The sequence below is a fragment of the Homo sapiens genome, chromosome 1, assembly GCF_000001405.40.
Source record: "Homo sapiens chromosome 1, GRCh38.p14 Primary Assembly".
Classification (NCBI taxonomy): Eukaryota; Metazoa; Chordata; class Mammalia; order Primates; family Hominidae; genus Homo; species Homo sapiens.
In genome coordinates, this window is record NC_000001.11 from 41,675,524 (window position 1) to 41,690,196 (window position 14,673).

Below are 14,673 nucleotides of genomic sequence, written 5' to 3' on the forward strand. Positions count from 1 at the left end.
TTATGTGTGCAGTCTTGTCAGATGAGAGTGACATGTATGTTTTGCTCACCATGGAATCTCCAGAAACTGTCAGAGTAGCTGTGACCCACATGGATTGTTTCTCAATGCTGAGCCCTGGGATCAGAGAACTGATCACCCTGTGAGGTTAGTACTGAGGTGCTGTCTCCACTCAGAGCCTGCTGAGCCCTAGGAAGACCAGGAGAGTTTACCACTCATCGTGAATTCCCTGCACCTGGCATAGAATATGATTCAAACTCAGCCCTCAATATGGGTGTAGAGGAAAGTGTGCAGGGGTGGTGGGTGAGCCCATGGGAAGGAGAACCAGGCCACAGGCTCTGCTGATGATTGCGGCTCCAGGGTGTGTCCACACGGCCCAGCTCAGACACATAATGTTATGGAGCTGAGGTGACATAGGATCTTGGGGACCGGGGACAGGACAGCTGGGGAACTGCCAATGGCCGGGCAACATCTAATGCCACATCACCCCGCTTCCCCTCGACCAGCTCTGCCAACCAGGTGTTTCTTTTCTTTTCTTTCTTTTTTTTTTTGACGGAGTCTTGCTCTGTCCCTCAGGTTGGAGTGCAGTGGCACCATCTCGGCTCACTGCAACCTCCGCCTCCCAGGCTCAACTGATTCTCCTGCCTTAACCTCCCCAGTAGCTGGGATTACAGGAATGTGCCACCATGCCCCACTAATTTTTGTATTTTTAGTAGAGACGGGGTTTCACCATGGTGGCCAGGCTGGTCTTGAACTCCTGACCTCGTGATCCATCTGCCTTGGCCTCTGAAAGTGCTGGGATTACAGGCGTGAGCCACCGTGCCCGGCAACTAGGTGTTTCTCAGCACTCCCTGAGGCCTGGGTGAGGCTGGGGATGGCGGGGACAGTTTCCTCCCCATGCAGGAGAAGGTGGAAGAACAGGGGAGTCAGACTCCAGCCCAATGTCTCAGAAATTCACTGTGGGAGCATGGCAGGGTCACACAATGCTTCCGAGCCTCAGTTTCCCTATCTGTAAGATTTAAGGGATAAGCCAATATAGAATGATTTACATATTTTGCCTCACATTATTACTGACTCAGCGCTTTCATCCATCTCAGGGTAATGCACGACCATTCCTTTTCTTTCTCTGTTCAGTATCCTCTCTCCCCTTTCTTCTGGCAAGAATTCCTCAGGAAACTGCCCCCCAACTCCACTCTCAATTCAGGCAGGGCTTCCCTTCACAGGAGGCCACCATCCTGGCCAGGGCAGGGAGGGGCAACCTGTTTGGCCAAACACAATCGCGCAGTGACCCAGGAGTAGTCATGTGGCCCAAGACGGGCCAATCACAGCACCTCCCTAGGATTTTTCACCCTGCAACAGCTGGGAGGAAAGTCCACTTTTCATTCTGGAGTCACCAGCTGGGATGGTGAAGGCTAGGGAGCCAGCAGGGGCCATGGCCCTTCTCCACCCTGCAGAGTCACTGTGTTATGCCGTGTGGAGGATGACGCCCAAAAGCAGCAGATGAGACTGAGATCAACACGAAAAGGAGTAAAGATGAAAAGAATGGGGAAAATAAGAGTCTGGTGATCTGATGACATTATATCAGCTCCTGGATCTAGCCATGCCTGAGCTCCACCACCTACTCATCCCTATAAAATGAGACAATGAGACAAAACTCAGTTTCTCTCTTCCCACCCCAACTCTCACTTTTAAACAATCTCTGAAAAGGCAGGAGGAATGAAAATGAGCATGCACTGAGAGCCATGCACTGCTCTAACACGCTTCACACGTATAATCCGGTCTAATCCTCATGACAAGCCTATGTCGTAAGAGAGAAATACAATAGTGTGACAGAAGACAATGGATGCTAGAAAAGGGTGTTAAAGACCTGAGCTCTAATCTTAGCTCTGCCGTGCACCAGCGGTGTGACATTGAGTCAGTTCCTTAACTTCTCTGGGCTTATCTTTGCTTCACTATAAAATGGGGTAGTGATGCCTACCTCAAAGGCCATCAGGAGAATGATGAGACAAAACAAATGAAAGAGCCTAGAATGTTCTTGGCTAGGAGAACTTTAATACGTGTTAGTTGAGCCTGTGAAGTCCAGAAGCCCTACAGCTAGTCTTGTTTCTAAGAATTAGTGTTGGCCATGGGGAAAAGAAGAGAGGAATGTGTGACAAGCTCCCAGCTAAAGTCCAATATCTGGTTAATATCCAGCATTGGCCTGTAACTATCAAATCTCCGATGACGTGAGGTTGGCTGATGCGTCTGCTTCCCCGCACATCGGGCGGTCAGGTGAGTCCGCAGGAACAACAGTTCTGGTGAGTGGTGATGGGTCACCAAGGAAAGGGGCCTGTTAATAGTTTCCAGATGGGCCTAAGCTGCTTCCAGTCTCCCCTGCACAGTGTTGAAAAGATGGGCTAGGACTCTGAACAAAGCTGAACTTGACCTGGAGGCCCCAGCTAATGGGTTATTGGCTCTATTGGGTTGGGGACAGGGCATGCCTCTCTGTGCTGGGCTGTCTGAGAGGTTGGCCCATTTGTGTCACCTTCTGGAGAGCAATTCTAAAAAAATGCTGCTCTGAATAAATATTTTGGTTCCATTTTGCGACGTGGCTGTTGGGGAGATTTCCATCGAGTGTGGTTTGCAAGGCGATTCTCCTCTGTTGTTTACTCTCGGCGATCCCCACAGCCTGTTCCTGGCAGCATCTGCATCTGCTGCACTCCTGGGCCGCTGGGACCTGGATGCTCCGCTCCAGAGAGAGGCTGAGTTGGCCGGCCCCTCCATTGGGAGCCTGATTGCGACAATGCATTAGGCAGCTGGCCACCAGACCCACAGGGCCTCCCCACTCCTCAGCTTAACCTTGCTCTCCTTAGCCAGCTCTGGCTAAGGCTGGTGCTCTTTTAGAAGTCCCATTCCCACCAACAAGGAGGAGGCTGTAATTAGCCCAGCTGCTCTAGGCCAGGGGCTTGGAATTCCTGTGGGCCTAGAGAAGCAGCCTTGTCCATTTCCTCTTCCCAGGGGTGGCCTCCGGCTCGCGCTCCTCTCCACCCACACACCTCTTCCCCAGAACCACAACCACACAGCAGCAGGCACTATCCAGTCTGAGCAGTACCACTGTCTCCCACCCATCCCCCACACATCAAAGCAACTTGGAGAGAAACCCCAGCCCCCTTGGGCCTGAGCCCACCACACCTCTTGGTTACAGTGACTGTGACGACTGCCCTACCCGCTTGAGGCCAGGTCCCCAGGGCTGCCAAGGCTCAGCATGCCCAGCCCTGCTCAGATGATGACAGCTCTCCAGCCAGGAGGCCACACCTCATCTCAAAGAGGAAGCAGTTAGAGGTGGGAGCCTTAAGCACACTTTCAAGCCAGCTCATCTTAGACTCTGCTCCCTATCACCATGGCCAGATGTCCAGGGAGAAGAAGGATTCATGGGGTCAGGGTCTGGCAATCAAGACAGAGAAATGGCACAAAGTAGGGAGGGTGCTTTCCAGGCATAGAGTTTGGTGTCCCAGTACAGGACCCATGGCCCAGGGAGAAGGTGCTCCACAAGGGATACATCTCAAGGATCCTGGGTGGGAGGACTCATATCACGACTGGGCATTTGGAATGTTCAAGACCCTTGCCATGGAGGCAGAGGCTGGCACACACTGTTCTTTCTCCCTCCCTTTTCTTCTCACCTCCCCAAAGCCACTCCCCTACTCTTTTTGACATGCGTCCAATTCTGGTGGCTCAAGTTTTCATGATGCAGGCCTTCTGGGACCCTATTTTGCAGATGAGGAAGCTGAAACTCCCAGAGGCCAAGGTCCATGCCCAGGGTCACAGAGCAAGCAAGGCAGAGCCTTGATTTGGGCCCATTTGTCAGAATCCAAATCCAGCACTCATTCCATGGCACCATGGCTGCCTCTGAACATAGAAAGGACAGATCCTATCTCCCCAGTTGGGTGCGTGGGACTCATTTGCCTATACCTGCAATGGAAGCTGCTAGTCCCTCCCTAGCCTCACTCAGTGGTCCAGAGACCAGTTGCATGCATTTGGGGAGGGGACTGGTGGCAGGGATGGAGGACTGCTTTGGTATGGAGGGGAGCTGACCAGCCTACAAGGTGCTGCTGCCCAGCTGTGGCTCTGCTGGCACCATGTAGACCAGCAGTGTCCCTCCTTCTCCCAAGCTCTGCTTGGCTCCAGACTCTCAGCTCAGTGCCTGAAGGCTCAGCCCTGCCCATCACTGAATTCAGCCTGCCCAGACCTGGGAGGATGTGGGAAACCCAGTTCCATCTAGGGCTAGAATTAATTTTCTCACCAGAAGCCACATGCCTTGTGGATGCTCTGGGCTTGCCTCTACTCGCTTGCCACAGTCTTCTCCTAGTGCCCTTGGGAGGCAGGGCATCTATCTGGAGGTCTGACTTGAGCTCAATCCTGCTGCCTTAATGAGAACTTCAGGTCCACTTTGCTAAGGGTCTTTGCAGGACACCTGTCTGGCTCCACAGCCACCCACTCCATGACTATACCCTGTGCCTCATCCTTTTAGCAACCAAGTTTTGGATCCTGCCCTGAAGGGGAGATGGGCCAGGATGGTTGAGCCTCCTTCTAAGAGACACTGGCTCTCACACCTCAGGCACACACTGGTCCCTGGGATGACCATGTGGGCCAGACAGCTAAGGATGTGACATAGTCATTTCTCTACAGGTCACGTTGGCAACCAGGCCTGACATTGGGCCACTCCTCTCAGGCCAAGCAGCTGAGACCCCTGGGCTCCATCAGTACTGAGCATGTCCAAGGTATCTAAGAGGATACCTTAGATTCTGGCCTTGTCCTCAAATGCCAATTATCTTCTTCCTGTCCAAACTCTTACTCTGGCAGGGAGTCACTCAGAGTGCTAAAACAGTGGGAAGGATTGGGGGCAGTAAGCTTCAACCAGAAAGATCACTTACAGGTTCTTAGCCTCATCACAGTGTCCAGCTAGGTGGGGATCAGCCTATAGTTCCAAGGCCATAGTCCCACTTGCTTCTTTTTGAACCAGCTGATAGCTGTCTCAGTCCCACTCAGGGCAGGAACATTGTCTTTTATGCTGGTGCTGGAAACACAAACCACACCTCTGCATGGAAACTGCCCTGTGCTCTGCTCTGTGATTCTCATGCTGGCATCCCAAATCTTTTAAAGCAGAATGTGGAGTTCCTAATCAACCGGCATCAAGTTTCAGTGAAGCCAGATGAAGCAGCTCTGGCGATCTGCCGCACAATGTTGTATTAATACCTGTCGTCTACAACAACGTATTGTACACTTGAAATTTTGTTAAGAGGGTAGACCTCAAGTGTTCTTGCTAAAATAAAATAAAACGGTATATGGCATATAAATCAAACAGGACAACCCCCTCTCCGTGGAAGCTTTTATGAAAATAATCACAGCTACCACTTACTGAGTACTTGCTATGTGCCATGATCTGGGCTGACCATTTCACATTTATTTAAGCCTCACAATAATAATCCCTGGAGGGGGTATTAATACTATTCCCAATTTGCAGATGAGAAAACTGAGGCTCAAAGTCCATCCTATTCCAAAGCTCTTATCATTCCCCAGAAGCTAAGAACTGGTGTGTGTGTGTGTGTGTGTGTGTGTGTGTGTATAGACAGAGACTGTCTGCTGGAGTGCAGTGGCACAATCACAGCTCACTGAAACCTCAAACTCCTTGGTTCAAGGGGTTGTCCTGCTTCAGCCTCCTGAGTAGCTGGGACTACAGGTGTGCATCGCCATGCCCAGCTAATTTTTATATCTTCTGTAGAGACAGCATCTTGCTTTGTTACCCAGGCTAGTCTTGAACTCCTGAGCTCAAGTAATCCTCCCGTCTTAGCCTCACAAAGTGCTGGGATTGCATCCGTGCAGCACCGTGCTGAGCCTGATCTGTGTGTTTTATCAATGGGCTTTGGAGATGGTTCTTGAGGGCCAGGGGTGACTCACAGTTGAACTAAAATGAGATGTGCCCTCTCCCCGGCAGAACATACTAAAGTGCTCAGCTGGTGCTCACGTGGCTGCAGGCCTCCTGCCTGTGTGATCCCAGGGTTAGTTTGTGAGCCACAGAGGACAAGGCACCCTTGCACCACATTCTTTCACAGGCACAGCTCTCGGGGCACACATCCTCTGGGCCAGAATGGTGCAGCGCTGGCCTGGCCCCTCTCTCCTTGCTTCCCCAGAGACCATCCTAATGGGATGGGCAAGTGATCCAGTGGGCTGGTGGCACCTGAGGGAGGAGGGGCTGGGAGGGAAACCTTGTGTTCAGCTACATAAGTTCCACTGCCACAACCTTGTGACTATGTCCCCTCCTCCTGATATGGACTGGCTGCCCCAACTTGGATGTTCTTTCTGACTATGTGCAAATTCCGATTCATTTACAAATCTGCTCCCAGCTCCCCTCTGGGAATGGTGAAGCCCTGCTCAGGCACATCCCTCCTTCCTCTAACGCTATCCCTGATGACATTTCCCTGGCTATTACATAATCAAGGGAGCTCAGCCAGGACTTTAATTGGAAAAGCTCTTCCCCAAGGGTCTCCGCGGATATCACTTGTGCCAGCCCAAGCCCTCTTACCTCTCAACTCCTCTCTGTGGTCTCTTTCTCTCTCTCTCTCTCATACGCACACAGGGACACGCAGCTGAGGCCACATCTTCTGTGCCTGTCCTTGGCCACACTCAGTGGCTTGCATGCTTGGTGCTCACTGTGAACTATGCTGCCCTGGGTCTTTCAGGCCCATCCCCACCAGGAAGTCTTCTCTGAGCACCTCCACAGGTGGCTCAGGGCTGGCCTCCTCCTGGCTTCCGTGGCACTCTGTGCTTATGGCATTGCTGTGGATGTGTCTGTCTCCCTACCTAGGTCGTGAGCTCTCAAGGGTAGGCACCAAGCCTGATTCTTCCCTGTGCTCCCAGCCCCTGAATTGGCCCAGCCCCAAGCAGGCTCTGGGAGGGTTGATGGAACGGGTCAGTGAAGCAGAGGGAGGACCCCGCCGAATACCCTGTGGTTGGTGTCTTGGGGAGCTCTGCATTAGCTGCCTTACAGACTTTCCAGAAACACCAAGAAATACCAGCTCTAGACAAACCAAAGAAATGAATCCAGTTTTCAGAGTGGAAACTGACGCCCAGCCGGGGACAGGTGGTGCCTAGGGATGCAGGACCTCTTGGTGGTAGAGAAGTCTTAAGGGGGCTCAGTGCAAACTCCCTTAGGCCTCTCCACCCTCCTGCTGCCTCTGAGACCTCAGTAAGAGCCTGCGGAAGCTCACTCAGGGCTGTGCTCTGGGGGACTCATTTCTATTCCTTCCAATAGACACCTTCCAGGCCCTGGGCTTGGCCTGGGACTTAGTCCTGGTGCTCACGGAGCCGTACAGACATGGACCAAAAGAGCTGCAAAGCGGGGTGAAAATCTAATAACAGAAATGTGCACAAAAGTGCCACCACGGAAGATGGGGGAGGTCAGGGGAGACACCATGGAAGGAATGACATCTAAACTGGGTCTTAAATGAGAGTTTACAAGAGGACTAAGTGGAGATGGGAGATGAGAGGAAGTGGGTGGTTCAGTGAAAGAGAAATGTGCAAAGACAGAGAAACATGAAACAACACAGCAAAATGGGGATCTGCCCAAGCCAAGTGGTGGGGCTGAAGCCCCCAAAACAGAAGGGAACCTGCACTTTAAGGCTGAAGCAGTGGGCAAGGCCACATCAAGAAGGACTTGAAAGCTACACTAAGCCAACTGGACCCCAGCTGGTAGGAAAAGAGCCTTATATTTGCAGTCCGTGTGCCTCATGCAGAGCTCCCTTCCACCAACCCCAAAGTGGGAAAAGGCACTGGCATATGACATAATCCTATTCTATCCCTTACCCAGGCAACCCCCTAGGCCCTGTAACAAACACTTCACCACTGATGGGAACTCCTCTTAGCCACAGACATCCTTGCATCTCAGAGCTGGAGCTGTGAAGTGCTAACAATTAATCATTGCAGAGATGAGTTCACGGTGACTTCAGAATATGGAGTCCTTAGGGATAAGTTTTATAAACAGGTTTGGAACTTCAGCAAAAACAGCTTCTCTTGAGTCTGAGTAAAGGAAAGGGTTATTGCCTGGCTCAGGGCTGGTATGGCCATGGCTGGAGGCTGGGAGGAAGCCCACAATGGCTGTGTGTTTTCCCGTGAGATTTTACCTACACTGAAAATCCTGGAGCATCTTCTTGGACTCTCACTAGGGCCCAGGACTCAGTAAAAATTCAAGAGCATGAGTCAAAGCAGCCTGGCAGAGGATAGAGCTAAGTTAGAAGAGGCTCAGGACCTGGAGGCAGCCCTCTGTGGTGCTGCCCCTCACTGCCATCTCTATACCAGCACTTCGAGGTTCTTCCCATCACCACCCTCCTGGTCCTATCACTGCTGGTGACCCTCATAACCCATGGAGGAACTCAGCAAGTTGTGTGGGGTGCAGGGTGTTGCTACAGAGCTCAGATGACTATCAGTTCCTAATTGGTTAGCAGCTGTGTGGTCCTTTGTCCTGTCTTCCAAAAGCACTGCCTTTAAAAAAGACCTTTGCCTGACCTTGAGATCAAGTCTGCTCTTTTGACAAATGTGGAAACTGAGCCCCAGCAAGGGGAAGTGGTTAACCCAGGGTCATGAGGGGAGGTGGGGACAGGGGTGCGGGAGGACCCAGGTCTCCTCACTGTCTGCCTCACCACTCTGACTTCCTGGAGGTGACTCAGCGAGACAAGCAGCAGAGGAAGGAAGTGGGAAAGGGAAGCCCAGCCTGCTGGATTCCAGGTCACCACTTTGTTAGTCCAAAGCCACCAACCACCTTGGCCATGCAGCTCTGCCTGGTGCCAGTGACCTTCCAGCCCTTCCTTCCCAAGGCTGCAGCTGCTGACCATTTCCTCCAAGGCCAAGCTCACATGGCCTCTCCAGGGTCTCCAGCGACTCCCTGCTGTACAGTCCCATGGTGCTGCCCTCCTGCTGGGGTCAGGAGTCACCTCCATAGACCTGGCATCTGGCTGAACCTGTGCAGGCCGAAGGTTCATCAGTGAGATGAGAGGAGGTGTAATTACTGCCTCATGTTTAATAGCTGGGCTCTGGGGCCTGTTTTCAGTTTTCATCACTTGCTGGCCATGGGTGCTTTGATCAACCTCCCTGAACTCAGTTTCTTTAATCTGTAAAATGAGATTACATGCAACAGTATCTACTTTGTAGGTTGCTTGCAGGATTAGATGAGATAATGGCCAGCCGCAGACCATGAACTTAAGACACATTGGCTCTTGACATCATTGACTATGCTAGGTGTGTTTACATGCATCCTCTCATTTAATCTTCACAACAACCTGCCAGGTGGATACCATTATTCTCTTTCACTGGTGAGGTGAGGGCACACAGCTCATGGCCAGACGTGAACCTGGTTCTGTCTGATTCCAGAGCCTAAATATTCTCCTACCAGCTACAGAACCTTCTCTTACTGTTATATGGTCAAGTGCCTGTTTTTGCCCTATCACCACGTGCTTGTGTGGACAGGGCCTCTTCTCCTTCTCCCTGGATTCCAGTCCTGGCTCTGACACTTCTCAGGAATGAGACTTGTCTCTGAGCCCCCACTGTCCCATCCATACACTGAAAAATTGGCACTCCCCCAGCCTTCTTCTTGGAGGAACACACAAGAGGACGGATGTGATGGTGTTTTGCAAACTGTACCTTGCTGTTTGAATGCAAGGTGCTACTCCCCCAAACAGAAATGCTTTTGGGACTGTTGCGAGTGCAGCCTGAGGGCAGAGATCCAGGAGGACCAGGGCCTGTAGGAGTACCTGCCTTGGCCACCACAGGAATTGCTGCAGGTCCCTTCAGTTTGTGGCTTTCTATATGTTGAGAGCAGGTCCTTGAGAGCAAGGCGGGGAGGCTGCAGATACAGTACAAGTCTTTGTTTCCTTGCCTGTTTCCTCCACTGCACTGTAAGTTCCTCAAGGGAACTGGACTGGCTCACAGCACATCCCTTGGATGGATGGCATTCACCCCCCTCTCCAGCCACATGGGCTCCTGGGAGCTCACCAAGTGGGCCATGCTGCTTTGCCCCCATGCCCAGCTCAACTCCCCACGGGAAGAGATCATCTTTCTCTCATGAACCCAGGTCCCCACCTCAACTGTAGCACTTACTATATCACAAACCCGATTTCTACCTTGAATCCTTTTTGGAACAGAGTCAGGGTTTGAATAAATAAATATACTTGAACTTATTTGTTTTCTGTCTGTTTCTTTTGCTGGATTGTAAGTTCCCTAAGGCACCTTCTGTGTGATACTCATCTTTGTAACTCTCAATAACCAGCACCAGGAACCTTTGGGGTATGTGTAGCATGGTTCTCTCTCCAACCCGCCTCTCTGTCTTGCAAACTCCCCCTCTCTCAGGGGCTGGTGTGTGTTGGAACTGTGTGTAACAGTGGAAACAACAGGCACCAGTGGATCTGACCAGCAAATGGACTGGCTTATCATTTGGGGGTTGCCTCATGTCTTGATGAATTCTGGGTTTACTTTTGGGTTCTAGACTGTGGTTTTTTTGTTTGTTTGTTTGTTTGTTTTGTTTTGTTTTGTTTTGTTTTTTTTGAGATGGAGTCTCACTCTGTCACCCAGGCTGGAGTGCAGTGGTGCAATCTCAGCCCACTACAACCTCTACCTCCTGGGTTCAGGAGATTCTCATGCCTCAGTCTCCCGAGTAGCTGGGACTACAGGCACACACCACCACGCCAGGCTAATTCTTTTGTATTTTTAGTAGAGATGGGGTTTCACCATGTTGGCCAGGCTGGTCTCGAATTCCTGGGCTCAAGTGATCCTCCCACCTTGGCCTCCCAAAGTGCTGGGATTACAGGCATGAGCCACCACACCCGGCCATAGACTGTATTTTCAAAGTCACCACTTAAGTAATCTCCTCCAGAACAATGGGCCCATCGATGTTCAAGATACACAATGGGGAGAAAGCAAGGAGTAGGAATCCATCAAAAGCCCCGTACAGTTGTCTTCTTTTCTCCTTGACTTTGCCGTTGATGAGTTTACATGCCTGACCACTTCCAGGACATATCAAGCCTGGACATAGCTGGATTGTGAGAGTGTGCTGTGTACTTCTAAGTACTGACTGGAACCATGCAAAAGCCCAGCCTCTTTTATGGGTCAAGGAGTCCTGGTGAAGACAGTATCAAGCCTTCTGGGGGTGGGGATGGAGTATAAACAGACAGCAGTTCTGAGACCCCAGAACCCAGGAAGCAGTTCTAGCTGCTATGAGTCCCTGGTTCTCATCTGTGAAAAGGGAGAATAATAAAATCCACCCTGCAGAGTTATCAGAGGAGCAGCATGAGATTACAATATATAAACACAGGAGCATGGTAAGAATGGATTCATTCACTCCACAAATAATCATTTAGCATCTACTATGGACCAGGCCCTGGTCCAGGCACTGGGCACAATATACAGCCAGTGGCATGTGGGCTGGTCCTGAGTGCTATCAAGAAAGGTGAAGCAGAAAAAGGGAACACGGAATGGGGGTGGTGGCAGTAGGAGGTGCTGCCATGTTAAGTAGGGGACCAGAGAAGGCTTCACTGAGAAAGGGACATTTAAGTAAAGACCCAAAGGAAGTGAGGGATGGGCCATGTGCATATGCTTCCTAACAGAGGAAACAGTAAGTGCAAAGGCCCTGAGGCCAGAGTTTGTAGAACAGTACACAGTCCAGAGGATATGGGGGCAAGAAAATCACTGGGGCTGTGAAGGCATTTATGCAACTTCTGAATTTCACTCAGAGACAGGAAGCTATGGGGGGTTTTCCAGCCAAGATGACATAACCTGACTTTTAGAGCTAATCACTAAACTTTAGCTGCCCCTTCTCTTCAAAGCCTCATTTAATATCCAGACCTCTGCAACTCCAGCCTATGTGCCTCTCCTTTCTCAGATTTCTTCCAGCTTTCCACATCTCTCCAAACCAAGAGGGCTTCATCATGCTCTGCCACATGCAGGCTGGAGAGGGACCTCGCAGAGAGGCTGTAGTTGGGAAGGGAGAGAAACAGAGCAGTCTTAGGTAATGGATCTTGCTCTCCTCTCTCTGTGCTCTGAAGGCCTCTGGGCCTGGCCCAGCTGCAGCAAACGCACACACTTAGGTGCACGGCGATGCTGGGAGCAATGACAGAGTCCCCGGTGCCCCTTCATCATCTGAGAAAGCTCAGTGCAGAACTGGGAATTTCACTCCATGCTCCCTCACCCTGCTTATCTACCAAAAGGTGAAATCATTTGTTTTAAAATAAAACAATTCCCATATCTGTCAGTGGTTTTTAACCTTTTTTGGGTCACTGGCTCCTTTGAGAATCTGCTGAAAGCTATGAGCTATCAGAAAATGAACATGAGATATGTACTCATTTTCTTATCATTTTAGGGGTTTCACAGATCCTTGAAAATTCAGTGAAGAAACCATTATCTAAGCCAACAATTTCCCAGCCACAGCTCCAGATGAATGAATGAATGAATGAACAAATAAATAAAGAGGCTGAGTGCAGATGGAGGAACGATGGGGGATGAACAGAGCAGAAAGATGCATGTGCCTGTGGGCACCACGGTTCTTGTTGATAGTTCCTGACACCTTCAAAGAAGCCAACTGGGAAGTGATATGGGGTCAGGGTGTGCTTGACAGGTGACCTCCAGATAGCCAAGCCGATCTTCTTCAGTTCCTCTCGTCTGACCCCTTCTGTTGTTCTCCTCTGACCCCTTCTGTTGCTCTCCTCTGGCCCCTCTGGGTGACTATCGTCCTAAAAGGTATCAAAGCACACTTCCCTGTCTTTCTCAGGGTGTCCTGAACAAAACAGGACTCTTTTCCTGGATGGCTATGGGGCAAGAGAATGAACGTAAATTCAGATGTATAAAATGTAAGCAATCACTTTTTCTGGTCATATGGCTGACCTGGCTGAGGCCCAGAGCCCCCACATCGGTCCCTCCCCAGCCCTCTTTCTGGGATCCAGGTTTCTGGCCTCCCAGTTCATTTTAATTTTTGATACATCTCCAGGGAAGGTGGAATGAACACTTAACTCATTCTTAAAGTCACAACTCCCACTGTGAAACTTTTAACACAATCTCATTTTTTTCTAATCATTGTTCTACACTGTAACATAGGGAGACCTTAGGTGGACTAGGGTGGGTAGGAATCCGTCCAAACACACAATGGTCCCAGGGAACTCTTCTGACAGAGAAGCACCTCCAAGGCCCCGGTGATGTGGCTCCGCCACCTCTCCTCTGATCATTCTGCCTCCTCCTCGGCACCATGCTCCAGACATCCTGAGCTGGGAGTTCCCCAAACGGATCTGTTTTTTTTTTTTGCCTCTGTTGCTTCATGTGTGCTGTGCTGGCCACCTGGAACACAGGCCACCACCTGCTTGTCTCACAAGAAAGCTCTTACCTCTCTGCTCAAGCTCACCTCCCAGCCTCCTCAGAGAGCCCATTTCCTTCCCCTGGGAATCCCGCGTCCTCACCTTAACCTCAGCACTTAGGACACTGTATTTCCAACTTCTAAAAAAAATCTTTTTGGGAGAATAAAGTTACAGTTTAGAGAAAGACACTTACAAGTGTTTACTTACCGATTCATTTCATGAACTGAGTCTTATTTATCTTTGTTTCCCCAGCAAACAGCACAAGGTACGTATTGATGTTTCCGTAGGTATTTGCAAATAAATGTTTTCCTGGTAGAGTGGTTCTCTCTCTACCCTTCCAGCTAGATTGTCTGTTGTGACCTCAACCCCCTGCTGGTAGGGTCCCACCTTTCACTGGCCTCCCTCGGCCTCCACAGGGCACCTGTTAGAACTGTGTGCAAACCACGAGGGAATAGGCGCTGAGGGGCTCTCTCGGGAGTGAACTCGCCAACTTAGTGTTTGGAGGTTGTGCCTCAAGTTACGGCTGCCCTGGTGAGTCTGTGCTTTCTGGGATCCGGGTGGGTAGGGTCACTGGTGGGGAAACCTCCTCCAGCAAGTTGTCATAGTAACCAGGACTTTCCATTTCACGGGAGAGAGTCCCTGGGAGGAAAAACACACCAAGGGCTTGGGAGGAGTGGTAGGAAGCCATGAAAAGCCTTCTGACACTGTCCTCCTGTACCCTTTGCTTTGCTTCCTACTGGTTTACATGCTCAAGGTAGAGGCCATTATGTGTGGGCATCTGAGTAGAAGCTGCTGAAAATAGCCGCCCGACTATTTCAGGGAGCAGCTGAATATGCATGAAGCTATTTTAGAAAAGATGTCCCTGGCCCAGCTAATCCAAACCCCATCCTTTCCCTTAGAAGTGCCAAGACAAGTTGAATGGGACCTTTCTTAGTCTTTCCCACTAGGGTGGGGGTGCTTCAGAAGCCACAGAAACAACACCCTGGCTAATGTTGGCCTTGCAGCCTGTCGGCTCCGCCTCCCAGTCCCGTGGTCACAGAGGCTTCTAGCCAGACAGCTCAGCCTTCCACGGTCCTCCGGGGCCTTGGCAGCCTTCAACAACTACTTTGCCACAATCCCGTGTGCCTAGGTCCTTGGGAGTCTCAGATCTTAGATATTTCCACATTTGTTCATTTATTCATTCAATACACTTGTATTGCTGGATAACATGTGTGAGGATTGTTTTGGGTGCTGGGAAAAAATGGTTTCTGACACCAGCTTATGGCAGGGGAGTGTGGACAGGTGAGTAGAAAGACAATAACCATAAAGTTCC

The 14,673-nt window shown here is 50.7% G+C and overlaps 1 protein-coding gene across 2 annotated transcripts in view, besides 2 other annotated features; it reads right to left on the reverse strand.

Moving 5' to 3' along the window:
* The window catches only part of HIVEP3 (HIVEP zinc finger 3), a 529,570-nt gene that overhangs the window by 169,159 nt on the left and 345,738 nt on the right, over positions 1-14,673 (reverse strand). The gene's annotated exons all lie outside the window — the stretch shown is intronic.
* Positions 2,808-2,857: an enhancer, noted in NCBI's record as "active region_870". NCBI's record gives its function as "activates an Ori minimal core promoter by ATAC-STARR-seq in GM12878 lymphoblastoid cells {active_cell/tissue: GM12878}" and the evidence as "EXISTENCE:reporter gene assay evidence [ECO:0000049][PMID:35858748]".
* Positions 3,038-3,237: an enhancer, noted in NCBI's record as "active region_871". NCBI's record gives its function as "activates an Ori minimal core promoter by ATAC-STARR-seq in GM12878 lymphoblastoid cells {active_cell/tissue: GM12878}" and the evidence as "EXISTENCE:reporter gene assay evidence [ECO:0000049][PMID:35858748]".